Source organism: Homo sapiens, chromosome 16, assembly GCF_000001405.40.
Source record: "Homo sapiens chromosome 16, GRCh38.p14 Primary Assembly".
In the NCBI taxonomy this organism is placed as follows: Eukaryota; Metazoa; Chordata; class Mammalia; order Primates; family Hominidae; genus Homo; species Homo sapiens.
Window position 1 is genome coordinate 30,717,269 of NC_000016.10, and position 27,973 is coordinate 30,745,241.

At 49.9% G+C, this 27,973-nt stretch overlaps 2 protein-coding genes across 2 annotated transcripts in view, besides 3 other annotated features; both read left to right on the forward strand.

Moving 5' to 3' along the window:
• SRCAP (Snf2 related CREBBP activator protein) overlaps positions 1 to 24,141 on the forward strand; it is a 42,239-nt gene extending 18,098 nt beyond the window's left edge. The window contains exons 19-34 of the mRNA NM_006662.3: positions 2,894 to 3,063; positions 3,445 to 3,710; positions 3,921 to 4,208; positions 4,854 to 5,018; positions 5,295 to 5,480; positions 5,695 to 5,961; positions 6,316 to 7,814; positions 11,698 to 11,963; positions 12,102 to 12,304; positions 16,012 to 16,181; positions 16,334 to 16,530; positions 16,626 to 16,740; positions 17,228 to 17,347; positions 18,932 to 19,126; positions 19,273 to 19,356; positions 19,781 to 24,141. Coding sequence (NP_006653.2) covers positions 2,894 to 3,063; positions 3,445 to 3,710; positions 3,921 to 4,208; positions 4,854 to 5,018; positions 5,295 to 5,480; positions 5,695 to 5,961; positions 6,316 to 7,814; positions 11,698 to 11,963; positions 12,102 to 12,304; positions 16,012 to 16,181; positions 16,334 to 16,530; positions 16,626 to 16,740; positions 17,228 to 17,347; positions 18,932 to 19,126; positions 19,273 to 19,356; positions 19,781 to 22,465 — 6,876 coding nt within the window. The 3' untranslated portion in view covers positions 22,466 to 24,141. The remainder of the gene's footprint in view (positions 1 to 2,893; positions 3,064 to 3,444; positions 3,711 to 3,920; positions 4,209 to 4,853; positions 5,019 to 5,294; positions 5,481 to 5,694; positions 5,962 to 6,315; positions 7,815 to 11,697; positions 11,964 to 12,101; positions 12,305 to 16,011; positions 16,182 to 16,333; positions 16,531 to 16,625; positions 16,741 to 17,227; positions 17,348 to 18,931; positions 19,127 to 19,272; positions 19,357 to 19,780) is intronic.
• Positions 14,423 to 14,582: an enhancer, noted in NCBI's record as "active region_10721". NCBI's record gives its function as "activates an Ori minimal core promoter by ATAC-STARR-seq in GM12878 lymphoblastoid cells {active_cell/tissue: GM12878}" and the evidence as "EXISTENCE:reporter gene assay evidence [ECO:0000049][PMID:35858748]".
• Positions 20,915 to 21,462: an enhancer, noted in NCBI's record as "H3K4me1 hESC enhancer chr16:30749504-30750051 (GRCh37/hg19 assembly coordinates)". NCBI's record gives its function as "activates a minimal SCP1, AML or CMV promoter by ChIP-STARR-seq in naive H9 embryonic stem cells {active_cell/tissue: H9 hESC(naive)}" and the evidence as "EXISTENCE:reporter gene assay evidence [ECO:0000049][PMID:30033119]".
• TMEM265 (transmembrane protein 265) lies at positions 23,374 to 27,928 on the forward strand. Its single transcript, NM_001256829.2, has 3 exons — positions 23,374 to 23,439; positions 24,473 to 24,640; positions 26,514 to 27,928. The coding sequence occupies exons 2-3, from the start codon at positions 24,476 to 24,478 to the stop codon at positions 26,673 to 26,675; spliced, it is 327 nt and encodes a 108-aa protein (NP_001243758.1). The 5' UTR covers positions 23,374 to 23,439; positions 24,473 to 24,475; the 3' UTR covers positions 26,676 to 27,928.
• Positions 23,662 to 24,861: an enhancer, noted in NCBI's record as "MED14-independent group 3 enhancer chr16:30752251-30753450 (GRCh37/hg19 assembly coordinates)". NCBI's record gives its function as "activates an origin of replication core promoter dependent on BRD2, BRD4, P300/CBP and CDK7 cofactors, and independent of MED14, by STARR-seq in HCT116 cells {active_cell/tissue: HCT116}" and the evidence as "EXISTENCE:reporter gene assay evidence [ECO:0000049][PMID:35650434]".

Sequence of the window (27,973 nt, forward strand, 5' to 3'; positions counted from 1 at the left end):
CTTTTGAAGATTTGTTAATTTTGGGTGTTTGTGTGGTGGTTGTTGAGCTGTAGGACTTCATTATATGCTTTGGAAATTAACCCATTATCAGATGTATGACTTGCAAATATTTTGTCACATTCCATAAGTTGCCTTTTCGCTATGTTGATAGTGTTTTTTGATGCACAAACACTTGTTTTTGGTGGTTTTTTTTTTCGAGACAAGGTCTATCTCTGTCACCCAGGCTAGAGTTCAGTGGTATGATCATAGCTTACTGCAGCCTTGAACTCCTGGGCTCAAATAGTCCTCCCGCCTCAGCCTTCCAACTAGCTGGGACCACGGGTATGCGCTACCAAGCCTGGCTTTTTTTTTTTTTTTTTTTTTGAGGCGGAGTCTCGCTCTGTCCTCAGGCTGGAGTGCAGTGGTGCCATCTTGGCTTACTGCAACCTCCGCCTCCCAAGTTCAAGCAATTTTCCACAGCCTCCCGAGTAGCTGGGGATACAGGCACGCACCACCACACCCAGCTAACTTTTGTGTTTTTAGTAGAGATGGGGTTTCACCATGTTTGCCAGGATGGTCTTCATCTCTTGACCTTGTGATCTGCCCACCTTGGCCTCCCAAAGTGCTGGGATTACAGATGTGAGCCACTGCACCCGGCCCTGCTGATTTTTTTTTTTTTTTTTAGTTTTCTGGAAGAGATGGTGTCTTGCCATGTCGCTCAGGCTGGTTTCAAACTCCTGGACGAGTAGCTGGAACTATATGCGTGCACCACTATGCCTGACTGATTTTTTTATTTTAATTTTTTTGTAGAGATGGGATGTTGATATGTTGCCTAGACTAGTCTTGAACTCCTGGCCTCAAGTGATCCTTCCGCCTTGGCCTCCCAAAGCCCTGGGATTATAGGCGTGAGCTACCACACCTAGTTTTAATTTTTTTTTGGGTGGGGGGGGCAGAGTTCTGCTCTTGTTGCCCAGGCTAGAGTGCAATGGCACAATCTCAGCTCATTGCAACCTCTGCCTCCCGGGTTCAAGTGATTCTCCTGCCTCAGCCTCCCGAGTAGCTGGGATTACGGGCATGCGCCACCACGCCCAGCTAATTTTTGTATTTTTAGTAGAGATGGGGTTTCGCCATGTTGGCCAGGCTGGTCTTGAAATCCTGACCTCAGGTGATCTGTCCACCTCGGCCTCCCAAAGTGCTGGGATTACAGGTGTGAGCCACTGTGCCTGGCTTTTTTTTTTTTTTTTAAGATGGAGTCTTACTCTGTCGCTCAGGCTGGAGTGCAGTGGTGCGATGTCAGCTCACTGTAACCTCCACCTCCTGGGTTCAAGTGATTCTCCTGCCTCACTCCCAAGTAACTGGGACTACAGGTGTGTGCCACCACTCCCAGCTAATTTTTGTATTTTTAGTAGAGATGAGGTTTCACCACGTTGCCCAGCTGGTCTCGAACGCCTGACCTCAGATAATCTGCCTGCCTTGGCCTCCTAATGTGCTGGGATTACAGGTGTGAGCCACTGCACCTGGCCCCCAGTTTTAAATTTTGATGTAGTTCAATTTATCAATTTTTTTCTTTTGTTGGCTGTGCTTTTGGCATCATGTCCAATAAATCATTGTAAAATTGGCATCTTTGACACTGCATTGTGTTGTTATTACTACTTTTTTTTTTTTTTGATACAGAGTCTTACTCTGTCACCCAGGCTGGAGTACAATGGTGCAGTCTCAGCGCATTGCAACCTCTGCGTCTTGGGTTCAAGCGATTCTCGATTCTTGTGCCTCAGCTTCCTGAGCAGCTGGGACTACAGGTGTGCACAACCATGCTGGTTGTATTTTTAGTAGAGATGGGGTTTCACCATGTTGGCCAGGCTGGTCTCGAACTCCTGGCCTCAAGTGATCTGCCCACCTTGGCCTCCCAAGGTAGTAGGATTACAGGCATAAGCCATGGTGCCCCGCCTATTATTTATTTATTTATTTATTTTTATTTTTTTTTTTGAGATGGAGTCTCACTCTGTCACCCAGGCTGGAGTGCAGTGGCACGATCTTGGCTCACTGCAAGCTCCGCCCCTCCAGGTTTAAGCAATTCTCCATTTCAGCCTCCTGAGTAGCTGGGATTACAGGCACGTGCCACCACGCCTGGCTAATGTTTTGTATTTTTAGTAGAGATGGGGTTTCACCATCTTGGCCAGGCTGGTCTTGAACTCCTGACCTCGTGATCCACCCGCCTCGGCCTCCAGAAGTGCTGGGATTACAGGCGTGAGCCACCGCACCCGGCCTTTTTTTTTTTAATTTTGAGGCAGGGTCTTGTTCTGTGGCCCAGGCTGGGGTGCATTGGCATGATCATAGCTGACTGCAGCCTCAGCTCCCTGGGCTCAAGCAGTCCTCCCGCCTGAGCCTCCTGAGTAGCTGGGACTACAGGTACATGCTAACATGCCTGGCTAATTTTTGTATTTTCTGTAGAGACGGGGTCTTACTATGTTGCCTAGGGTGATCTCAAATTCCTGGGGTCACACAGTTCCCCAATCTTGGCCTCCCAGAGAGCTGGGATTACAGGTTTGAGCCACCGTGCCTAGCCTTTTATTTTGGAGTAAGGGTGTACATGTGCAGGTTTCTTAAATGGGGTATATTGCATGATGCTGAGGTTTGGCGTACGATTGATCCTGTTACTCAGGTTGTGAGCATGGTACTCAACTGGTAGTTTTTCAGCCCCTTGCCCGCCACAGTCGTTTCTGGCGTATATTGTTCTCATCTTCATGTCCATGCGTACCCAATGTTTAGCTCCCACTTGTGAGTGAGTACATGTGGTATTTGGTTTTCTGTTTCTGTGTTAATTCACTTAAGGATAATGGCCTCCAGCTACATCTGCGTTGCAAAGGATGTGATTTTGTTCTTCTTTATGACTGTGCTTTCTTTCTTGTGGCAGCGGATAGACATGGGTCGATTTGACCTTATTGGCCTGGAAGGTCGTGTCTCTCGATATGAGGCAGACACATTTCTGCCCCGGCACCGCCTCTCTCGCCGGGTACTGTTAGAAGTGGCTACTGCTCCTGACCCCCCACCCCGGCCCAAGCCAGTCAAGATGAAGGTCAACAGGTACAAGGACTAAGGAATGAGGGGATGGTTCCTAGAATAAGTGGCTGAAAGCTGCCCAGAGGGGCCTGGGGTGGGAAGAAAAGAGTTGGATGCAAGGCTGGAATATTTATATGGGATGGGTGCAAACGTGGAGGGAATCAGGGAGAGAATAACTAGAAGAGGGTACTGGGATGGGCTTCTGTGTTAGTCACTTTTTCTCCCTTTCTCTCTGTTCGGTGCTTTCTGATTGTCTTAAATTCCTATTCCTTGTTCTCCTTTGGGTCTCTTTCCTTTTCTTTGCTTTTATAATCTGTCTCTCTGTTTCATTTTCTTCTTTTCTTTGATATTGCTACCCCTTATTCTCCTTCTGTCCCTACCCACTCTCTTAATTTTTTCTCACAGGATGCTGCAGCCAGTACCTAAGCAAGAAGGCCGGACAGTGGTGGTGGTGAACAACCCACGGGCGCCCCTGGGCCCTGTCCCAGTTCGACCTCCTCCAGGTCCTGAGCTCTCAGCCCAGCCCACCCCTGGCCCAGTCCCCCAAGTGCTGCCAGCATCACTGATGGTTTCAGCCTCACCTGCCGGGCCCCCGCTTATTCCTGCATCTCGGCCTCCTGGCCCTGTCCTCTTGCCTCCACTGCAGCCCAACAGTGGTTCTCTCCCCCAGGGTGAGTTGAAAGGGAGCCAAGGATGATGCGTGGTGCTTCAGAAAGGTTGTTCAGACTGAGGAGGAAGTAGTGAAATTAAAGGGTTTGAGGAGCTGGGCTGGGGACACGGGTCTAGTATTTGATGGGTTGGAAGGGAGTATGGAGGCTTCTGGCACCAGGCTAAGGCTTTAGTCAGGGTATATCTGACAGGTGTTTGCTTTGTGTCTGCAGTGTTGCCATCCCCCCTGGGGGTCCTGAGTGGGACCTCACGGCCTCCCACGCCAACCTTGTCCCTAAAGCCAACACCACCTGCCCCAGTTCGCCTGAGCCCAGCCCCACCTCCAGGCTCCTCTAGCCTGTTGAAGCCCCTGACAGTGCCACCAGGCTACACCTTCCCTCCTGCTGCTGCCACCACCACTTCTACCACCACGGCAACTGCTACCACCACAGCAGTGCCAGCTCCGACTCCTGCACCACAGCGCCTCATTCTATCTCCCGATATGCAGGCTCGCCTGCCCTGTAAGTTCCCAGGGCTCTGTGGTGAGGGACTTGAGATGGGAGGAAAGCTCAGGACCATGAGAGCATCAAATTTTAGGCAGCTGGGTCAGGCATGATGGCTCATGCCTATAATCCCGGTGCTTTGGGAGGCCAAGGTGGGAGGTTTGCTTCAGCCAGGAGTTTGGAGCTGCAGTGAGCCATGGTTACGCCACTGCAATCATGAGCAAGACCCTGTGTCAAAAAAAATTGAGGCAGCTAACATATGTTAGGCATTATGCCAGACATTGTCAGATCATAATTAAGAGCCCTTAAGAAATTGACATAGGGAGATGACACATAGATGAATAAATAGTGGTAAGCCTAGCAGTAGAAAAGTATTGGGGTAAAAGGACAGTGTAGAGCAGATGGTGGTGATTAGCTCAGTCTGGTGGCAGGCCATGTTAGAGGATATAAAAGAGATTGCTAAGCAAATGGGATTGGAAGGAGTAGCACATGAAAAGCTCAAAGGCTGTAGGTGGAGGCTGAGTTTATTGGGACATGGTAAATTGTGGGAAGGGCTTAGTTGTTTGAACTGGACACTCGGGGGAGAGGTGTGCTTCATGGGGTCTGTGAAGTGGTGTTGAGCAGGATGAGCCTTGTGTACAATAAGGCCTTCTCTGTTTTTAGCAGGCGAAGTGGTCAGCATCGGGCAGTTAGCCTCACTGGCACAACGTCCAGTGGCTAATGCAGGGGGAAGCAAACCTCTCACCTTCCAAATCCAGGGCAACAAGCTGACTTTGACTGGTGCCCAGGTGCGCCAGCTTGCTGTGGGGCAGCCCCGCCCGCTGCAAAGTAGGTAAAACCCACCCCCTGTCCTGCCTTTTTCCTCCTCTTCCCTGTCTCTTTGTTTTTGTGACTTTTTTGAATGTCAGCCTTTATGTTTCTTACCCAAGCTTTTGGTGGGTGGGGCCAACGGGCATGGTTGGAGGGATCTTGGATAAAGATAGGGAAGAGGTCATTCTAGAGAATGTATTCCCTCTCTGTTCTTTTCTTCTCTTCTTGCCTTGCCTCTGCCCTCCTCAGGCTGATAGCTGCTTCTCTCTCTCTTTCTCTCTTCCCTTAACCCAGGGAATGTGGTGCACCTCGTGTCAGCAGGGGGGCAGCACCATCTCATCAGCCAGCCTGCCCATGTGGCCCTCATCCAGGCCGTGGCCCCGACCCCTGGCCCTACCCCTGTCTCTGTGCTGCCTTCTTCGACCCCCAGCACCACCCCTGCCCCTACTGGCCTCAGCCTTCCGCTTGCTGCTAACCAGGGTGAGGCTCCTGGCCTTCCTACTTAGCCCTTGCTGGCCTTGGTCCTTCCAGGCATGCGCTGGGCTACTGTCTGTCCAGCCTTCCCTCAGTGTTGTTTTCCCTTGCGAATATCTATGATACCTGTCTGCCACCTTCTCCTGCCCCTGGACTTCTTCCATTCTTTGGGTCTTTTGTTTCTTTTCTACCTTCCTCTCAGTGTAGCTTCCTCTTGCAGTGCCACCAACCATGGTGAATAATACAGGCGTGGTGAAGATTGTAGTGAGACAAGCCCCTCGGGATGGACTGACTCCTGTTCCTCCATTGGCCCCAGCACCCCGGCCTCCGAGCTCTGGGCTTCCAGCTGTGTTGAATCCACGCCCCACGTTAACCCCTGGCCGGCTACCCACACCTACTCTGGGTACTGCTCGAGCCCCCATGCCCACACCCACTCTGGTGAGGCCTCTTCTCAAGCTGGTCCACAGTCCTTCACCTGAAGTCAGTGGTGAGTCCAGGTGGCTGAGGCCAGAAATCCTTGCCAGGAATGGAGACGAGATGGGGTCGCCTCAAGGTTTCTTAGTTTTAGTACAGGTTTTTTCATATCAGCGTACTGCCTTGATTTGTAGTGGGCCCCAGAACTGGGCTGCCTGAGCCCTGACCTAATTTCAAGATCTATTTGCTGGAATCTTGGAGGGGAAGAAAATCTAAAGTTGTCAGATTACTTGGATGTTTGACTTCATGTTGTGGGAGTGAATGCCTTCTGGGAAATGGGAAGCTTGGGGGTATGGGAAAGATGGGACAGGGAGTAGAAAGGCTCAGGAAAAGAATTCTGGGGCTAACTCATCCTCTCTCTCCACAGCTTCAGCCCCCGGAGCTGCCCCCTTGACCATCTCTTCTCCTCTCCACGTGCCATCCTCCCTCCCTGGGCCAGCCTCTTCTCCAATGCCAATTCCCAACTCCTCTCCCCTTGCTAGTCCTGTGTCCTCTACAGTCTCAGTTCCATTGTCATCTTCACTCCCCATCTCTGTCCCCACCACACTTCCTGCCCCAGCCTCGGCTCCACTCACCATCCCCATCTCAGCCCCCTTGACTGTTTCTGCTTCGGGCCCAGCTCTGTTGACCAGTGTGACTCCACCATTGGCACCTGTTGTCCCAGCGGCTCCTGGACCTCCCTCCTTGGCACCATCTGGTGCTTCCCCGTCAGCATCAGCCTTGACTCTAGGTTTGGCCACAGCTCCATCCCTGTCTTCATCTCAGACACCTGGTCACCCTCTGTTGTTGGCTCCCACCTCTTCACATGTTCCAGGGTTGAACTCAACCGTGGCCCCAGCATGCTCACCTGTCCTGGTGCCAGCTTCGGCTCTGGCCAGTCCTTTTCCGTCAGCACCAAATCCAGCTCCAGCTCAGGCTTCCCTTCTGGCTCCAGCATCTTCTGCATCTCAGGCTCTAGCCACCCCTCTGGCTCCTATGGCGGCTCCACAGACAGCAATTCTGGCTCCTTCTCCAGCTCCTCCTCTGGCTCCTCTTCCGGTCCTGGCACCATCGCCAGGTGCTGCTCCTGTCCTGGCTTCATCACAGACTCCGGTTCCAGTTATGGCTCCATCGTCTACTCCAGGAACCTCTTTAGCCTCAGCTTCACCGGTACCAGCTCCAACCCCTGTGTTGGCTCCATCATCAACTCAAACTATGCTACCAGCCCCGGTTCCGTCACCTCTCCCGAGCCCGGCTTCTACGCAGACACTGGCCCTAGCCCCAGCTTTAGCACCCACTCTTGGAGGCTCATCTCCATCTCAGACACTCTCTTTGGGAACGGGGAACCCCCAGGGACCCTTTCCAACTCAGACATTGTCATTAACTCCAGCATCATCCCTGGTACCAACTCCAGCCCAGACACTGTCTTTGGCACCAGGACCACCACTGGGTCCAACTCAGACGCTGTCTCTGGCTCCAGCACCCCCTCTGGCTCCAGCTTCTCCAGTGGGCCCAGCCCCAGCTCACACGCTGACTTTGGCTCCAGCATCGTCATCTGCTTCACTCCTGGCCCCAGCTTCAGTGCAGACACTGACCTTGAGCCCTGCCCCAGTTCCTACCCTGGGCCCGGCCGCAGCTCAGACCTTGGCGCTGGCCCCAGCCTCCACACAGTCCCCAGCTTCCCAGGCATCTTCCCTTGTGGTTTCGGCATCTGGTGCCGCTCCCTTGCCTGTCACCATGGTATCCCGGCTGCCTGTTTCCAAGGATGAGCCTGACACACTGACATTGCGCTCTGGTCCCCCCAGCCCTCCCTCCACTGCTACCTCGTTTGGTGGCCCCCGGCCTCGACGCCAGCCCCCCCCACCACCTCGTTCCCCTTTTTATCTGGTAAGTTTTACTTCCTCAAGAGGGAACAGGAAGTTGAGTTTCTTTGGAGTGTTGGTAGGGTGGATGGAACAGTGATGTCACATTTAACCTGGTGAATTACAAAGCTTAATGTTATGGACCAAGTACTTGAGTGACATTTGGACAAGTCCCTTCTCTTCCCTGGGCGTGTACCTCATGATCCGCCTGCCTCAGCCTCCTGAAGTGTTAGGATTACAGGGGTGAGCCACCACGCCCGGCCTCTTTTCCCGTTTTTTAACCCGCACGGTAATAAATGGGCAGTAAAAGGAACTCTTCTCTGTCCCTTTTATGATTTCCGGTAGCTGTTTCTTTCCTGTACTATGTATATAGGCCCATGTCTGTGTAGTACTTGAGTTAAACTCACAGTTCAGCTTAAGTAAACCAGAACTAAGGAGAAGGAAGGTCCAGTGGGTCCCTCCACGCCCTCTGGCTTTTCCCCACTGTAATCAGAGCTGCTGCTTAGTCTTTGCTTCATGCCTACTCCCCCACCTTCCACCAGTGCCATTGACTCCACCTTTGGTTTTTACCTGACCAGCCGCTAGGTTGGTCCTGGCTGGTTGGAAGTAGAGAGTAGAGGGATTGCTCTGCAAGTAGATAATAGCCTCTTGCCACTTGGTTTTTTTTGGTAACAGTTTGTGCTATAAATCATATACCATTCGATTTACCCATTTAAACTGTACAATAGTTTTTGGTTTTTTTTTTAAATACAGATGGGGGTCTCCCACTCTTGACCAGGCTGGTCTCGAATTCCTGGCCTCAAGTGATCCTCCCATCTCGGCCTCCCAAAATGCTGGGATTATAGGTGTGAGCCACCATGCCTGGCCCTAAACTGTACAATAGGTTTTTAATATATTTATAGGGTTGTACAATCATCAACACAATCAACTTAGAACCTTTCCGTGGCCCCAAAAAGAAACGCTGCACCTGTTAGCCAGCATTCCCCAATCCCTCCGTCCCTCCTAGTCTTGAATGACTACCATCCTACTTTTTTATTTCTCTAGTTTTGCCTATGGAGTCATAATGTATAATGTGTGGTCCATTGTGACTGGCATCTTCTACTTAGATTAATGTTCTTTGAATTTTATTGTGTTATAGCGTATATCAGTACTTCATTTGTTTTTATGTTGAATAATAATGTATGAATACCACATTTTATCCTTGAGTTGATGGAAACGTGTGTTACTTCTGCTTTATGGTTGTTATGAACAATGCTGCTGTGAACATTTCATGTACAAGTTTTTGTATGGACAGGTGTTCTCAGTTTCTGTTAGATACATACTGAGGAGAAGAATTGCTGGGTTATATTGTAACTAGGTTTTAACTGTTTAAGGAACTGCCAGACTTTTCCAAAGTGGCTGCAGCATTTGACATTACCACCAGCAGTCTGTGAGGATTCCAGTTTCTCCACATTTGAGCCAATACTTTTTTTTTTTTTTTTGAGAAGGAGTCTTGCTCTGTTACCCAGGCTGGAGTGCTTTGGCACGGTCTTGGCTCACTGCAACCTCTGTCTCCTGGGTTTAAGTGACCCCACCTCAACCTCCCTCGTAGCTGGGATTACAGGCATGTGGCACCATGCCTACCTAATTTTTTTGTATTCTTATTATTTTATTTTATTTTTGAGACAGAATCTTGCTCTGTTGCCCAGGCTGGAGTAAAGTGGCACCATCCCGGCTCACTGCAACCTCCACTTCCCAGGCTCAAACGATTTTCCTGTGTCATCTTCCCGAGTGGCTGGGACTACAGGCATGGCGTCACCACGCCTGGCTAATTTTTTTATTTTTAGTAGAGATGGGGTTTCACCATGTTGGCCGGGCTGGTCTCGAACTCCTGACCTCAGGTGATCCGCCTGCCTTGGCCTCCCAAAGTGCTGGGATTATAGACATGAGCCACTGCACCTGGCCAGATTTTTTTGTATTTTTAGTAGAGATGGGGTTTACCATGTTTGCCACGCTGGTTTCGAATTCCACACCTCAAGTGATCTGCCCGCCTCAGCCTCCCAAAGTGCTAGGATTACAGGTGTGAGCCACCATGCCTGGCACATCATCACTTTGATTATAGCCATCCTGCTGGGTGTGAAGTAGTAGTTCATTGTGATTTTGATTTGAATTTCCCTGTTGGCTAATGTTGAGCTTTATTTCATGTGGTTGAAATACCATGCTGGCCATTTGTGTATCTTTGAAGAACTATCTGTTCAGATCCTCTGCCCTTTTAAAATGGGTTGTCTTTTTATTATTGAGTTGTAAGAGTTCTTTATATATTCTGATTACAGATCCTTTTTCAGACGTATGGTTTACAAATAGTCTTTTTTTTGAGACAGTGTCTCACTTTGTCAATCAGGCTAGAGTGCAGTGGCACAGTCTCCGCTCATTGCAGCCTCCTGGGCTTAAGTGAACCTCCCATCTCAGCCCTCCAAGTAGCTGGGACTGTAGGCTTGTGCCACCATGCCAGGCTACTTGTTTGTTTCTTTTTTTGAGATGGAGACTCACTCTGTCACCAGGCTGCAGTGCAGTGGTGCGATCTCAGCTCACTGCAACCTCCGCCTCCCAGGTTCAAGCGATTCTCCTGCTCAGCCTCCCAAGTAGCTGGGACTACAGGCTTGCACCACCACGCCCAGCTAACTTTTTTGTAATTTTAGTAGAGATAGGGTTTCATCATGTTGGCCAGGATGGTCTTGATATCTTGAGCTCATGATCTGCCCGCCTCGGCCTCCCAAAGTGCTGGGATTACAGGTGTGAGCCACCGCGCCTGGCCCTTGTTTGTATTTTTTGTAGAGATGCGGTTTTGCCATGTTGCCCAAACTGGTCTTGAATAGGAGGCTCAAACCATCCACCTAGGCCTCCCAAAGTGCTGGGATTATAGGCTTGAGCCACTGCTCCTGGCCAGATTTTCTCTTTTTGCTACTATTGGGAGCTAGCCTCAAAAGGAACTAGCTCTTTGAGTTTATTGGTTTTTCCGTCTGCTAGGACACCTTTTTTCCCTCACATAGAGCACTTCAAGCCAAGAGGTGAAACTTGGTAGCAGTCAGGAAGGAGATTTGGAACACTCCTCTTTTCACAACTATCTCTTGGGGTCTAGTCTCCCTCATTTGTTCATTTTGTTAACAGATAAATGTATTGAGAGCTTAATTGTGCTAGTTACTGAGTGATTATAGTGAGCAAGGCACAGTTCATGTTGTATGGGGCCTACCGTGTAGTGGATAGATATTAGTTAAATAATCATACAGATGTGTAACTACAAGCATAATAAGTGATACAAAGAAGTTTTTCAGACTGTGAAACTGGAAGCACAAAGATGGGAAAGGATTGGGTCAAAGTCATCCAGGTGTCCTCACTGCCGGGTTGCCCATTTTCTGTCTCAGAGTGATGAGACTCGGATGTCCGGTTAGCTGTTCCCATTCCACCCCATTCCAGTCTGGCCCTTGGCAAAAACCTGGTCTGGATTTGATTGGCGCCTCTGTATCCTGGTCAGTGATTTGAAGAAGGCTATAGTCCTGGAGTTGAGTGTTACGTAGGAAAATACCCACAAATCGTCCATTCTATAAACTTGTTGGAATTGTAGATCTTAATTTTGAATATTCAGTCATTCTGCTTTGGTAGCATACAAGGAAAGATCAGTTTTCTCTAGGAGAGAAGTTACTTAACATAACTTCTGAGAAAGAATAGTTATTTAACATAAAAAAGAAAGTTATTTAACATAACTTCTGAGAAAGAATAGTTCTCATTGATAACTTGGAAAACTACAAAAAGCATAGTGTATTTTTGGATCCCATGGTTTCTATATATTTATTTCCATCTGGGAAGAACAGTCAGGTTTTGATGTGGACTCTGAGGGTGCTGATTACTTCCTCTTTTTCTCTCACCCCCAGGACTCCCTGGAGGAAAAGCGGAAGCGGCAGCGGTCTGAACGCCTGGAACGGATTTTCCAACTTAGTGAGGCTCATGGGGCCCTGGCACCTGTGTATGGGACTGAAGTCCTGGATTTCTGTACCCTGCCCCAACCTGTTGCCAGCCCCATCGGCCCTCGTTCTCCTGGCCCCAGCCACCCCACCTTTTGGACTTATACCGAGGCTGCCCACCGGGCTGTACTGTTTCCCCAGCAGCGACTAGACCAGCTGTCAGAAATCATTGAGAGGTTGGCAGGGCTAAGTGCTAATGGGGAGTGGGTCTTGGGGCCTCAGAGTGGATGTAGTGCTTAGGGCTGGTGAAGGTGTTAACTTCTGGGGCATTTCAGAGTCCCATCTTTTACACTGCCTGCTTCTTCCTTTCACAGGTTCATCTTTGTCATGCCTCCTGTGGAGGCACCTCCCCCTTCCCTGCATGCCTGCCACCCACCTCCTTGGCTGGCCCCACGTCAGGCAGCCTTCCAGGAGCAATTGGCCTCTGAGCTCTGGCCCCGGGCTCGTCCTTTGCACCGTATTGTGTGTAACATGCGCACCCAGTTCCCTGACTTAAGACTCATCCAGTATGATTGCGGTGAGTTTGTTGGCCAGTGTAGGACCCTTGACTTCTCTTCTTTTCTTAGTATTAAGACTGTTGTATCAGAGGGATGCTGCACTTAAGTTCTCTTGCGATTTCTGTAAAGCTTTAGATGGTTTTTTAGGTTATGCTTATGGGCAAGATAGAGAAATGTAAGCCTTGTTAGATTCTTGACATTCATAAATATGACTTTCTTCTTTTTTTTTATTTTGAGACAAAGTCTCGCTCAGTCGCCCAGGCTGGAGTGCAGTGCAGTGGTGCAGTCTCAGCTCACTGCAGCCTCCCAGGTTCAAGTGGTTGTCCCACCTCAGCCTCCAGAATAGCTGTGATTACAGACATACGCCACCATGCCTGGCTAATTTTTGTATTTTTAGTAGAGATGGGATTTCGCCATGTTGGCCAGGTTGGTCTCGAACTACTGACCTCAAGCGATCCTCCCGCCTCAGCCTCCAAAGTGCTGGGATCACAGGCATGAGCCACCATGCCCGGCCATGAATTTGACTTTCATGAAAGTTGAAAATGTGCTGCTAACTCCTTCATTCAGTGATCATTTTGTGAACATGTTACATTTTGCTAATCATTTGGGATACAATAGCAAGTAAGACAGTGCAGCATAGAGTTTTTATTTAGCTGTATGGGAAAAGATGTCTGGTGGTACAAGACTGCACAGTAAGTAAACAGTAAATTTTGGTCTTGGAAAAGACAAGGACCTTTTTGTGTTGACTAGAATTATTTGGCGGTAACAGAAAACCAACTAACAGTCATTGTTTTCTTAATGAGCCAATCTGAGAATAGTGGTGTGTAGCTGTTTCAGTAGCTTAACGATATTTTCAGGGACCAGGACCTTTTCTTCCTTCTTTCTTTCTTTTTTTTTCAGATAGAGTCTCACTCTGTCGCCCAGGCTGGAGTGCAGTGGCTCGATCTCGGCTCACTGCAACTTCCGCCTCCTGGGTTCAAGCGATTCTCCTGCTTCAGCCTCCTGAGTAGCTGGGATTACAGGTGCACACCACCACACCCGGCTAATTTTTGTATTTTTAGTAGACACGGGGTTTCACCATGTTGGTCAGGCTGGTCTCGATCTCCTGACCTCGTGATCTGCCCACCTTGGCCTCCCAAAGTGCTGGGATTACAGGTGTGAACCACTGCGCCCAGCCTTTTTTTTTTTTTTGAGATGGAGTTTCGCTGTGTTTCAAGGTATTCTCCTGCCTCAGCCTCCCGAGTAGCTGGGATTACAGGTGCCCACCACAACGCCTGGGTGATTTTTTTGTATTTTTAGTAGAGACAGGGTTTCACCATGTTGGCCAGGCTGGTCTCGAACTCCTGACCTCGTGATCCCCTTGCCTCGGCCTTCCAAAGTGCTGGGATTACACACGTGAGCCATTGCACCCAGCCTTAAGGGACCAGGACTTTATCTTTCTACCCTGCTGTACCATCTTTAGCTTTTTATCTTTTTATTCTCATGCTTTTGTTTCTTCATGATGTTAGGATGGCTGCCATAACTCCAGGGTATACACCAATCCTCTAAACAAGAAACAAGGGGTTGAGACAAAACACTCTGAGAAGGTTTTCTGGGAACAAAAGACCTCCAAGCTGACTTTGCTTCATAACTCATTGGCTCAAACTGAGCTATATGCCCATACTTAGAGCAATCACTGACAAAGGGGAATAGCAAAAAAGACCTCTGGCTTATTTAGATCAACTTGATTTATTTTCTGGGTTTGGGTTGGGGCCTTCTTCACCTGGGAGCAAAGAACCTCTGCCAGCTGTCCAGGGTTAATCAGGTTCTTTTACCCAAGAATGGCTATTGGGTAAGTGACTAGTTCCACAGCCCTGCACAGACATTTGTATAGTAACATGTTTCGAGATTTTTTAAATTTCCTAGAATATAAGAAAATCAAAATTTTTATTAATATGTGTTCAATAAATGTTTTAGTAAAAAAAAGTGTTTTTGTTACATTTGAAACTATTCAGAGTAGATGAACTGAAAGTCTTGGTTAAAAGTGTTCAAGGCCGGGTGTGGTGACTCATACTTGTAATCCCAGCACTTGGGTAGGCTGAGGTGGGCAGCTCACTTGAGGCAAGTAAAGACCAGCCCAGGCAACATGGCGAAACCCTGTCTCCTCAAAAACTGAAAAATTAGTGGATATAGTGGTGCACACCTATAGTCCCAGCTACTCAGATGGCTGGATTGCAGGAGCCTGGGAGGTTGAGGTGCAGTCAGCTGTGATCATGCCACTGCACTCTAGCCTGGGTGACAGGGTGAGACCTTGTCTCAAAAATAAAATAAGGCTGGGCCTGGTGGCTCATGTCTGTAATCCCAGCACTTTGAGAGGCTGAGGTGAGTGGATCACTTGAGTTCATGAGTTGGAGACCAGCCTGGGCAACATGGCGAAACCCTGTCTCTACAAAAAATACAAAAATTAGCCAGGCGTGGTGACATACGCCTGTAGTCCAAACTACTTGGGAGGCTGAGGTGGGAGGATGGCTTGAGCCCGGGAGGCAGAGGTTGCAGTGAGCTGAGATCGCACCACTGCACTCCAGCCTGGGTAATAGAGCCAGACCTTGTCTCAAAAAATGAAATAATAAAGTGTTCAGGCTGGGCACGGTGGCTCACGCCTGTAATCCCAGCACTTTGGGAGGCTGAGGCAGGTGGATCACCTGAGGTCTGGATTTGGAGACCAGCCTGACCAACATGGAGAAACCCTGTCTCTACTAAAAATACAAAATTATCCGGACGTGGTGGCACATGCCTGTAATCCCAGCCACTCGGGAAGCTGAGGCAGGAAAATTGCTTGAATCCAGGAGGTGGAGGTTGCCGTGAGCTGAGATTCCACCATTGCACTCCAGCCTGGGCAACAAGAGCAAAACTCTGTCTCAAAAAAAAAAAAAGGAAAAGGAAAAAAATAAAAGTTCAAACTGTGTTACCAGAAATGTTGAAGTTATTTCTGTGTTTGATGGAAGGTTGAACTAGATAAACTTTCTAAGAGCCTTTACTGTTCTGATCTGTGACCTTAAATCCCTGTCTGTAAGCTGTGACCATGGATTTGTTGATATCTATCCTGTGAATCTGTTCTGGATTTCAGGTGGTATGACTATTGTAATACTTAAGGATCTCTTGCTCATAAAGCATTGGGGATTCTGTTTTTCCCTCGATGTTATGTATTCCCCTACTCTTTTAGACTCCAAGAAGTTAGATTCTAGGCTGGAGCAGACCGAAGAGGTGAAGCCCTTAAAGGAAGAACTTGTATGGAGTTAAACGTAGATAGATATTTTTTGTGACAGGGTCTCGCTTTGTTGCCCAGGCTGAAGTGCATTGGTGGGATCTCAGCTCACTGCAACCTCTGCCTCCTGGGTTCAAGCCCGAGTTCTCATGCCTCAGCCTCCTGAGTAGCTGGGATTACAGTCACCCGCCATCACGCCCAGCTAATTTTTGTGTTTTTAGTAGAGACAGGGTCTCATCATGTTGGCCAGGCTGGTCTTGAACTCCCGACTTAAAGTGATCCACCTGCCTCAGCTTCTCAGAGTGCAGGGACTACAGGTGTGAGCCACCATGCCCTGCCGTAGTTAAACATTTTTGATCTGCTAGGCTAATTGAAACTTTGGCTTAAAGCATTGATTATCTTTCAACCCCAGCCTTGCATTGCTAAGCATTCTACCCATTGCGGCTTGTAGCTAGCTCCCTGTATCCCTTCATATCTCTTTAGGAAAGTTGCAGACGTTGGCAGTGCTGTTGCGGCAGCTCAAGGCAGAGGGCCACCGAGTGCTCATCTTCACCCAGATGACCCGAATGCTGGATGTATTGGAGCAGTTTCTCACCTACCATGGCCATCTCTACCTGCGCCTGGATGGATCTACTAGAGTTGAACAGAGACAGGTAACCCAGGTTTCTGCAGCTCTTAGAGGCTCACCTCCGCTTCTCTCTCCTTTTCCCAGGATTTGGGCTTCCAGACGGGGTGCCACTAAGCCTTTAGACCTGTTTTGGGGGATAAGTCTCCCAGTATCATCTTTTTTTCCCTTTCCTTCTAGGCCTTGATGGAACGGTTCAATGCAGACAAACGCATATTCTGCTTCATCCTTTCAACTCGGAGTGGGGGTGTGGGCGTGAACCTGACAGGAGCAGACACTGTTGTTTTTTATGACAGCGACTGGAATCCCACCATGGATGCTCAGGCCCAGGACCGCTGTCACCGAATTGGCCAGACCCGGGATGTCCACATATATAGGTATTGCCTAGTCTTCCCTCACCTTACTTTCCGTTTACTGATGGGGTTTCCTGGATATATTTGGCTGCTTACACACGGCCTTCATCACCCCCTAGGCTTATCAGTGAACGGACAGTGGAGGAGAACATCCTAAAAAAGGCAAATCAGAAGAGAATGTTGGGGGACATGGCCATTGAGGGAGGCAACTTCACCACAGCCTATTTCAAACAGGTACTAAGTAAGATCTTTTAGCCTATGCAGGAGAAAACTGCTGCGCCTTCAGGAGTTCCTCCTGTTTATTAAAGAAGACTGCTTTGGACTTTGGGAGGCTGAGGCAGGCGGATCACTTGAGGCCAGGAGTTGGAGACCAGGCTGGCCAACATGATGAAACCCTGTCTCTACTAAAAATACAAAAATTAGCCGGGCATGGTGGTGGGCGCCTGTAATCCCAGCTGCTTGGAAGGCTGAGGCAGGAGAATCACTTGAACCTAAGAGGCGGAGGTTGCAGTGAGTTGAGATGGCGCCATTGCACTTTAGCCTGGGTGACGAGCAAAACCGTCTCAAAAAAGAAAAAACAAAAAGGACTGCTTTGGCCTTCACAGACGTGCGTCTTCAACCAGTGGTACCCCTGACAGTTCCAAGAACCATCAGCCTTACAGCTTAGACCTAAGACTAGCATTCTGTTGACTCTGACACTTCCCTCTGTTCTATCCGATAGCAGACCATCCGAGAGCTGTTTGATATGCCCCTGGAGGAACCTTCTAGCTCATCCGTGCCCTCTGCCCCTGAAGAGGAGGAAGAGACTGTGGCCAGCAAGCAGACTCATATTCTGGAGCAGGTAAAAAAAGAGTGGGCAGTTCGTAAAGTTGAGCTGATTCTTACAGAATATCTTGTCTTTTGTTAGTCTGTTGAGCTTGTCCAGGGGAAAGAGATGTTTCTTCTGCTTCCCAGATTACAGTCAGCCTTTGATAGTTGTAAGCACATTGCTTATTGGTTCACATGATTAAGTAGGAAAAAAAAACAGGATTTTGGAGTCTTTAGTTTTAGGTTTGAATTCCAGTAATGCTTCTTAATTGTGTTAAGACAAGTTACAATCGTCACTCTTCTGAACCTCACTTTCTATTAAAAGTAATGTGGGCAGGGCATGGTGGGTAGCTCATGCCTGTAATCCCAGCACTTTGGGAGGCTGAGGCTCCCAGCTGGAGAGCTCTGAAAACACACAAATGCTCAGACCCAACACCCCAAAATTATGATAGATTTTGAGACAGGGTCAAGGAATAAATCTTTTAAGAACCTTTCCAAATGTGATTTTATTATGTGTAAGTATTTGAAACAGCGTTTCACATTAAGTACAAAGCATTTTTTTTTTTTTTTTTTTTTTTTTTTTGAGACGGAGTCTCGCTCTGTCGCCCAGGCTGGAGTGCAGTGGCGGGATCTCGGCTCACTGCAAGCTCCGCCTCCCGGGTTCACGCCATTCTCCTGCCTCAGCCTCCCAAGTAGCTGGGACTACAGGCGCCCGCCACTACGCCCGGCTAATTTTTTGTATTTTTAGTAGAGACAGGGTTTCACCGTTTTAGCCGGGATGGTCTCGATCTCCTGACCTCGTGATCCGCCCGCCTCGGCCTCCCAAAGTGCTGGGATTACAGGCGTGAGCCACCGCGCCCGGCCACAAAGCATTTCTTATATCCACCTCACCATCTAATCCTCAAAATTATTTCCTTTTCATTAGTATTTCCACTTAAGAGAAGTGTTTAAGTTGGTGCAAAAATAATTGCAGTTTTTGACATTACTTTTTTTTTTTTTTTTTTTTTTGGAGACGGAGTCACGGAGTCTTGCTCTTTCGCCCAGGCTAGAGTGCAGTGGCGCGATCTCGGCTCACTACAGCCTCCACCTCCCGGGTTCAAGTGATTCTCCTGCCTCAGCCTCCTGTGTAGCTGGGATTACAGGCGCGTGCCACCACGCTCAGCTAATTTTTGTATTTTTAGCAGAGATGGGGTTTCACCATGTTGGTCAGGCTGGTCTCGAACTCCTGACCTCATGATCTGCCCGCCTTGGCCTCCCAAAGTGCTGCAATTATAGGATTGAGCCACTGCGCCCGGGTGAATTGTGCATTTTTATTCACATCTTTCTGTGGTGGCTTTTTTTTTTTTTTGAGAGCTGAGGCTGACTTTAAAGGAAGGGAAGTACAGCGAGCAATCTCAAAAATACTCATTTTTCCCTAGTGGGAGTCCTGGTAAAATCCATTCCATCCTTTGTGGACCACTGAGTTGTTGTGGTAACTCTGGAGGCCTAGGAGGTTGTTGAGTTCTGTTGCAAACCTAGTTTGGTGTACGCTTGGTCTCAAGTTCTTGCCTGAATCAAATCACAGGATGTAAAGTACTTGAAGTCTCATGTTTTCTTTTTCTTTTATACACCCTGGTAGGCATTGTGTCGGGCAGAAGATGAAGAGGATATCCGTGCAGCCACCCAGGCCAAGGCTGAACAGGTGGCTGAGCTTGCAGAATTTAATGAGAACGATGGGTTTCCTGCTGGTGAGGGAGAGGAAGCTGGCCGGCCTGGGGCTGAGGATGAGGAGATGTCCCGGGCTGAGCAGGAAATTGCTGCCCTCGTAGAACAGGTCAGTGCTGGACCCACTAGTTCTTGACTTTACTGCTTCCCCTGGGCTTGTGACCCTCCTTTTGTCTTCCCTGGTGGGAATAAATAAGGGTGGTGGGGCCCTGGGTACCAGGTTCCTAAGTTTATCACCACCGCTCCTCCTTGCAGCTGACCCCCATTGAGCGCTATGCCATGAAATTCCTGGAGGCCTCACTGGAGGAGGTGAGCCGAGAGGAGCTCAAACAGGCAGAAGTGAGTATTTCCAGGGGTGGGGCTGGCAGTTGGAAGCTGCTAATTTCTTTTTCTTTTCTCTTTTTTTTGAGACAGTCTCGCTCTGTCGCCCAGGCTGGAGTGCAGTGGCACAATCTCGGGTCACTGCAGTCTCCGCCTCCCGGGTTCAAGCAGTTCTCCTGCATCAGCCTCCCGAGAAGCTGGGATTACAGGCGTGCACCACCACGCCCGGCTAATTTTTGTATTTTTAGTAGAGACGGGGGTTTCACCATGTTGGCCAGGCTGGTCTTGAACTCCTGACCTCAGGTGACCTGCTGGCCTTAACTTCCCCAAGTGCTGGAATTACAGGCGTGAGCCACCGCGCCTGACCTGGAAGCTGCTAATTTCTACTCACTCTCTACTCTGCTTGCCTCCTCCTGACCACTTTTGGACCCTGTTGTTGTAGGAGCAAGTGGAAGCTGCCCGCAAAGACCTGGACCAAGCCAAGGAGGAGGTGTTCCGCCTACCCCAAGAGGAGGAGGAGGGGCCGGGGGCTGGGGATGAGAGTTCCTGTGGGACTGGTGGAGGCACCCACCGGCGCAGTAAAAAGGCCAAAGCCCCTGAGAGGCCGGGGACTCGTGTCAGTGAGCGTCTTCGTGGAGCCCGGGCTGAGACTCAAGGGGCAAACCACACTCCTGTCATATCCGCCCATCAAACTCGCAGCACCACCACACCACCCCGCTGCAGTCCTGCCAGGGAGCGAGTTCCCAGGCCAGCACCTAGGCCTCGACCCACTCCAGCTTCAGCTCCGGCTGCAATTCCTGCCCTTGTTCCTGTCCCAGTTTCTGCCCCAGTACCCATTTCAGCCCCAAATCCAATAACCATTCTCCCTGTCCATATCTTGCCTTCTCCTCCCCCTCCTTCACAGATTCCTCCTTGTTCTTCTCCTGCCTGCACCCCTCCTCCTGCCTGTACCCCTCCACCAGCTCATACACCGCCTCCAGCCCAAACCTGTCTTGTAACTCCTTCCTCTCCTCTCTTGCTTGGTCCACCTTCTGTGCCCATCTCTGCCTCAGTCACTAATCTCCCCTTGGGCTTGAGGCCTGAGGCAGAGCTGTGTGCCCAGGCATTGGCATCTCCAGAGTCCCTGGAGCTGGCTTCTGTGGCCAGTTCAGAAACCTCCTCACTTTCTCTTGTGCCCCCTAAAGATCTGTTGCCAGTTGCTGTGGAGATCCTGCCTGTGTCAGAGAAGAACCTTTCTCTCACCCCTTCTGCACCCAGCCTGACCTTGGAGGCTGGCAGCATCCCCAATGGTCAAGAGCAGGAGGCACCAGATTCTGCTGAGGGGACCACCCTTACAGTGCTGCCTGAAGGTGAGGAGTTGCCCCTGTGTGTGAGTGAGAGCAATGGCCTGGAGCTCCCACCCTCAGCAGCATCTGATGAGCCACTTCAGGAGCCACTGGAGGCTGACAGGACCTCGGAAGAGCTGACAGAGGCCAAGACCCCAACCTCCAGCCCAGAGAAGCCACAGGAACTCGTTACAGCTGAGGTTGCAGCTCCATCCACCTCATCTTCAGCCACTTCCTCGCCTGAGGGTCCTTCACCTGCCCGACCTCCTCGGCGTCGCACCAGTGCTGATGTGGAAATTAGGGGTCAAGGGACTGGTCGGCCAGGACAACCACCAGGCCCCAAAGTGCTTCGAAAGCTGCCAGGACGGCTGGTAACTGTGGTAGAGGAAAAGGAACTGGTGCGGCGGCGGCGGCAGCAGCGGGGAGCTGCCAGCACCCTAGTGCCTGGGGTCTCTGAGACTAGTGCCAGCCCGGGAAGCCCGTCTGTCCGCAGCATGTCAGGGCCAGAATCCTCCCCTCCCATTGGTGGGCCCTGTGAAGCTGCTCCTTCATCCTCACTGCCCACTCCACCCCAGCAGCCCTTCATTGCTCGCCGTCACATTGAGCTGGGGGTGACTGGTGGTGGCAGCCCCGAGAATGGAGACGGAGCACTGCTCGCCATCACCCCACCTGCTGTGAAACGTCGGAGGGGGAGGCCCCCCAAGAAGAACAGGTCTCCAGCAGATGCTGGGAGAGGTGTGGATGAGGCACCCTCATCCACCTTGAAGGGAAAAACCAATGGGGCTGACCCAGTCCCTGGGCCTGAGACCCTAATTGTTGCAGATCCTGTCCTGGAACCACAGCTTATTCCTGGGCCCCAGCCTCTTGGACCCCAGCCAGTTCACAGACCCAATCCCCTCCTGTCACCTGTGGAGAAAAGAAGGCGAGGACGACCCCCTAAAGCACGAGATTTGCCCATCCCTGGGACCATTTCCTCTGCAGGGGATGGCAACTCCGAAAGTCGGACACAGCCACCCCCACACCCATCACCCCTAACCCCACTCCCACCACTGCTAGTTTGTCCCACTGCTACTGTTGCCAACACTGTCACCACTGTCACCATTTCAACGTCCCCACCCAAACGGAAGAGGGGCCGACCTCCCAAGAATCCTCCATCACCTCGGCCCAGCCAGCTCCCCGTCTTGGACCGTGACAGCACTTCTGTTCTCGAGAGCTGTGGATTGGGGAGGCGACGGCAACCCCAGGGCCAAGGGGAGAGTGAGGGTAGTTCCTCTGATGAGGATGGAAGCCGCCCCCTCACCCGCCTGGCCCGCCTTCGGCTTGAAGCAGAAGGAATGCGAGGACGGAAGAGTGGAGGGTCCATGGTGGTGGCTGTAATTCAGGATGACCTGGACTTAGCAGATAGCGGGCCAGGCGGGTTGGAATTGACACCACCTGTGGTCTCACTAACCCCAAAACTGCGCTCGACCCGGCTGCGTCCAGGGTCTCTAGTCCCCCCACTAGAGACTGAGAAGTTGCCTCGCAAACGAGCAGGGGCCCCAGTTGGTGGGAGTCCTGGGCTGGCAAAGCGGGGCCGCCTACAGCCCCCAAGTCCCCTGGGGCCTGAGGGTTCAGTAGAGGAGTCTGAGGCTGAAGCCTCAGGTGAGGAGGAGGAAGGGGATGGGACCCCACGCCGACGTCCTGGCCCCCGCCGGCTTGTTGGGACCACCAACCAAGGGGACCAGCGCATCCTGCGCAGCAGCGCCCCTCCCTCCCTGGCTGGCCCTGCTGTTAGTCACAGAGGCCGCAAGGCCAAGACGTGAGTGGGCTGCCCCTCCACCTAGGCTTTCCACCGTGGCCACTCCCTCCATGACCAGGCCTGACTCTGTTAACCACTACTTGAAGTCTTGAGGGGGAAAGCCTCCAGGGAGACATAGGGGCCTTCTCCCTTCTTCCCACCAAAGTAGGGGGTAGGCAACTGGTTGTCATGGAAATGGGGATCATCACAGTCCCCTTCCCCTTCACCCCACGTGGCTGGGCAGTGTTAAGGGTGGCAAGATAGTCTCTGTCCCCACCCCCTTGTACTTGATTCCCCAGCTGTCTTTCACACAGCCCCCCACCCTTAGGGGAAGGGGGAGGGGCTTCTCTACAATGAGGTTTTTTTCTTTTTTTTTTTTTTTTAAGAAGAAAAAATAATAAACTTAGTTTCTGTATGAGCATCCGCGTAAGGAGGCTTCTGATTTTCTGGTCTGGTGGAGGGTTGGGTGGGAACTTGGGCATCGTTTTTCTCCTCCCTCTTGTTCTTGCAAAGATCCTAGCACCTGATCTCTAGCCCAGGACTATATGTTCCAGGCAGAAATCTACCCAAGAAGAGGGAAGATTGGTGAATTTGATGTGGTAGGGTGCCTTTCCCCAGTCAGTTTGAAGTCACAGATATCCTTTTCCTCTCATTTCTTTTCCCTCGGTTCCTAGACGTTCCTCGGAGCTCTTTGATGCCTCAGACCTTTCCCTTTTATCCCTCTTGCTCAGGTGCTTCCTTTCACAACTTTTTCCAGAGGGCAGGCGTCCTAGCTCCAGTTGCTCCATCCCTTGGGCCCTCCCCTGCTCTTCATCTAGCCAAACTGGTTTGAGTCAGCCACACCCCTTCCCAGCTCCCTGGGCTCTTCACGTGGTGGCTGGCCACTCAACCCCACCCCTGGGCTTGGCTTGGAGCCCTGAGTCAGCTCCATCACCACCCAAGCCAAACCAAAGCTGAGGCAGGAGCCGAAACTCAGAGTCCTTCAAGGCCTATAGCCAGGTAAGAGCCCTGTTCATTTTTACATTCTCTGTTCACTCCCTGGGCCCTCCTTGTGTCCTCCTGTTGACTCTGTGCTTACCTCATCTGAGTTATTTCTTTGTATCTACTTCCCTGCAGCTTCTTGGCACACATCATTCTTTGCTCTCTACTTGTCTCGCCCCTTTCACCTTTCCTATCCTTCGTTACTTGGGTTCAGGGAGCCAAGGTGGTTTCATTTTGTCTGGGTTGTAGGGGAATGGTTGGAGATAAGGGTAGAAAGGTGGTTTGATGCCAGGGCCTAGAGGACCTGAGAAGTAGGGAGACAAGAAATGATTAAGTAGGGCATCATTTTGCAGGTTTCTGTGTGGTAATGAGGTCATTTAGACTCAGTGTACTAGTCTGATTGTGTTATGTGGCCTGGGTTAAATTGGAGAGAGGAGGTGGCAGGGAGGCAGCATAGCAGAGGAAGCCCTGACTTAGGGAAGTAAAGTCTTTCTGATGTTTGGTTTTAGTGGTAATAAAGGGCTTACTTGGGTACATTTTCCTTACCTTTCTCCATTCCCATAACTGTTTTCATGTAAAATGGCTGCTTTGCTTGAAACGGGTTGCAGTACCTAGGGTCCTGCTCTCTGACATCTATAATACTCAGGGGGCAGCCTCTTGGGAATTTGGGGGAATTGTAGAGTCCTTTGAAATACAGATTAAAATAACAGATTCATAGCAGCTTTCAAGAGTTTGTATTTTTCCTCCTTCTCGGTGTGCACCTGTCATTTGGCTTCTTCCCACTTGTTGAAACACTAAATAATACAGATAATGCCTTGTCTACACTGGCTTGCTTTCAAAGACTCAGAACCTCAAGCTTAGGTAAAAGGATTCCAGCCACACATTTCCTCTCCTGCTCTGTGAGTCACTAGAGGAATTCCCCAGTAAGGCAACATTCCTGAGTGCCAGGCTAGGCCATGAGAACAGAATGCTCTGAGAGGGGTGGAGTCTGAGCAAGCAAGGCCAAGGGCTCTGTTGTTGGGCTCACAAGTACCTTGACTATCGCCCACAGGTGATGGAGGACGAGGAGAAGGCAGTGGAGATCTTGGGCAACACGGAAGCTGCTCATCCTCCATCCCCCATCCGCTGCTGCTGGCTCCGCCTCCGCTGCTTGGCAGCTACTAGCATTATCTGTGGCTGCTCTTGCCTGGGAGTCATGGCTCTGGTGTTTGCCATCAAGGTGAGGAGTGCAATTCCCATGGGAATGGGGGTGGGTATAAGGCAATGGTTTCATGTATCTGATCTATCTACATTGACCAGTCACTGAATACCTATCAGTGCTCTGGGCCTAGTGCCAGAAATAAGAATAAGACAGGGTTCCTTGTCGTCAGAGGACCCATAATCTAATGAAAGAGGTGACAGTGAAAATGGGTAATTAATAGAATGCAGTTCATCAGTACCGTAATACAGGAAGCACAGGACAGTGTGGGAGCCAGGGAAGATCTATGTATGTAATTATATATGTGTATATGGTAGAATAGGTGACTGGAAAGGCATCCTAGGAGAGGTGACAGGATTAATCTTAAAGGGTGAGTGAGTAAGTGTGGAAGGGCATTCCAGATAAAAGGAGCAGTGTGTACAAAGGCCTGTGGAGCATGACTGGACCAGTGAGGAATAGTGAGAGATGAAGCTAGAGGACCCAGATTCCCAAGGGCCTCCAGTTCTGTGCTTAAGAGTTTTGACTTTATCTTGAAAGTACTGGGGAGGCATTGAATGGCTCCTGCAGGGGAAAGTGACATGGTCAGATTTGAGTTTTAGGAAGATCCACTCTCAAGGCCTACATCGAGGGTGAATTGGAGGGGGCAAGGCTGGAGGCCGCTGAACGGTGATGAGCGCAATCTCTAGGAGTCTGAAAGACACTTGGGTTTTTGAGAGGGCTTCACCATTTCAAAAAGCCTATTAGAAACAGCACATGTCCGCCGGGCGTGGTGACTTAGGCCTGTAATCCCAGCACTTTGGGAGGCCGAGGTGGGCAGATCACGAGGTTAGGAGATCGAGACCATCTAGGCCAACATGGTAAAACCCCGTCTCTACTAAAAATACAAAAATTAGCTGGGCGTGATGGTGCGTGCCTGTAATCCCAGCTACTGGGGAGGCTGAGGCAGGATCATTGCTTGAACCACGGAGTCGGAGGTTGCATTGAGCTGAGATCATGCCACTGCACTCCAGCCTGGTGACAAAGCAAGACTCTGTCTCAAAAAAAAAAAAAAACAAAAAAAAACAGCACATGTCCTTTAGGAAAGGCTACACAGGCTAACTTAAACTTCATGCTGGAATCTTCTCAACCCTAGACATATTTTAACAGTCAGAAACTGTAAGAACTCCTGGGTTCCATTAGGGCAAAATCCTAAAAAGGGCCCTTAATGATAACAAAGAGGCTGGGCGCAGTGGCTCACGCCTGTAATCCCAGCACTTTGGGAGGCCGAGGTGGGCAGATCACTTGAGGTCAGGAGTTCGAGACCAGCCTGACCAACATGGTGAAACCCCGTCTCTACTAAAAATACAAAATTAGCTGGGCGTGGTGGCACGTACCTGTTATCCCATCTATTTGGGAGGCTGAGACACGAGAATTGCTTGAACCTGGGAGGAGGAGGTTGCAGTGAGATTGCACCACTGCACTCCAGCCTGGGTGACAGGAGTGAAACTGTCTCAAAAAAAGAAAAAAAAAAGATGGAAAAGATGAGGCCCATTGGGCTATGAGAATGAGGTGGTGTTTGGGCATGAGTGAAGTTACTCTAGCCTCACTGTTTCTTGCCAATAGTTACAAATTCTGAATCAATCTTGGATAGTTGGAAAGAATGGGGAATAACAGAATTGGAAAGTACTTTCCCATAGGCGATCTTGTGAGCTATGGCCACCCTGAGAAGTAGGCAGGGCCCAGAGATGGGTACCTTATTTTGCAGATGAGAGGTTAGAATCAGAAACTGGAAAGGGAGGTAGAGGGTTTGGATGTGAGATTTTGATCCGTGACAGGGAAGGGGGAGCGGAGTGGGGAAATGGGCACCTTGGGGCAGAAGCAGGGGGAGAACCTAACCAAGAACCTGCCCCCACAGGCGGAAGAGCGGCATAAAGCAGGCCGGTCCGAGGAGGCAGTGCGCTGGGGGGCCCGGGCCCGGAAACTCATCCTGGCCAGCTTTGCTGTCTGGCTTGCTGTCCTCATTCTGGGTCCCCTGCTGCTGTGGTTGCTCTCCTACGCCATCGCTCAGGCTGAGTGACCCTGGATGGCCTCTGCTGAGAGCCAGCCGAGACCTCCTGGATCCTGCAATGCGGCATTGCTAAGGTCCTGTGACAGCAGTGGTTGGAAGGATCCTGGTTGGAAGGATGGGGACTCTCTCAAGGGGCTTTGGAAGAGCTCTTCTAGCCCTTTATAAAAGGAGGGCAGCAGCTGAGACTGATGAGAGGAGGGCAGCCTGCTCTGTTCTTTCAGGGCCCCCCACCCCCATCTCCCCTACCCTAGCCCACCCTAGGGCCTCTACCCAGCGGGAGGGGTTGAAGACCAGGCCTGGTTTTATTAGAATTCATTTTGTAATAAAAGCCTTTTTTAGTGGTGAAATACTCCTGTCTAATTGTTCTCCTCCTGCTTTCCCTTGGGCCCTTGGTGAGAGCCAGACTGGACATCTGACTGATAGCAGAAGCCAGCATCCACCTCATCCAGGAGCTCCAAGAGAAGGAAACAATTTTTATTTTCTTCTTCTGGAAGTTTCCCTTCTTGGAAAGACCCCAGCTTCTCCCTTGTACGTCCACAGAGACTCTGAGGCCAAGAGTAGTAGCAGCTGCTACTATTTATTACTTACTATATTCCAGGCTGTGTTCTAAGCACTTTATATTTCTTAACTTCCTCCAGTTTTCAGTCACTCAGTAGATGTCTGTACTATCATATCCATCATATGAATATATCACATATGATAGGTACCAACTATCTGAGTGAAAACTGGAAGAAATGTTCTAAAATGACAGTGTTCTCGTTTTATACTTGAAGAAACAAACAGATTTGCACAAGGTCCTCAGCTACTAAATGGTAGAGCTGAGACTGAACCCAGACAGTTTGGTTCCAGAGCTGAGAGAGGAGTGAAAGAGTTGGGTAACAGCAACAACCATCCTGTACATGGAGATTTGAGTGATTAAAATGGATTTTCATATCTTTTATCTTGGACCTCATAATATTTCAAATTTTTTTTAAAATTATGAAGTATATCATACATATAGGAAAATACCCAAAACAAGTATACAGTTCATTAACACAAAGCAAACGTGAATAACCACATTCAGTAAAGAAATTGGAACACTGTCAACACTTCAAAGCCTCCTTTATACTCCTCCCAATCACTGCTACTTCCTTTCTTCCCACAGGTAACCACCATTCTGACTTCTAGCAGTGTCATTTAATTTTGTCTGCATTTGAACTTTATATAAATGGAATCATGTATTCTTTTCATGTTAACATTGTGAGATTCGTCAATATTTGGAATAGGTGTAGTTTTCATTGCTGTGTAGTATTCAGTCATATGAATGT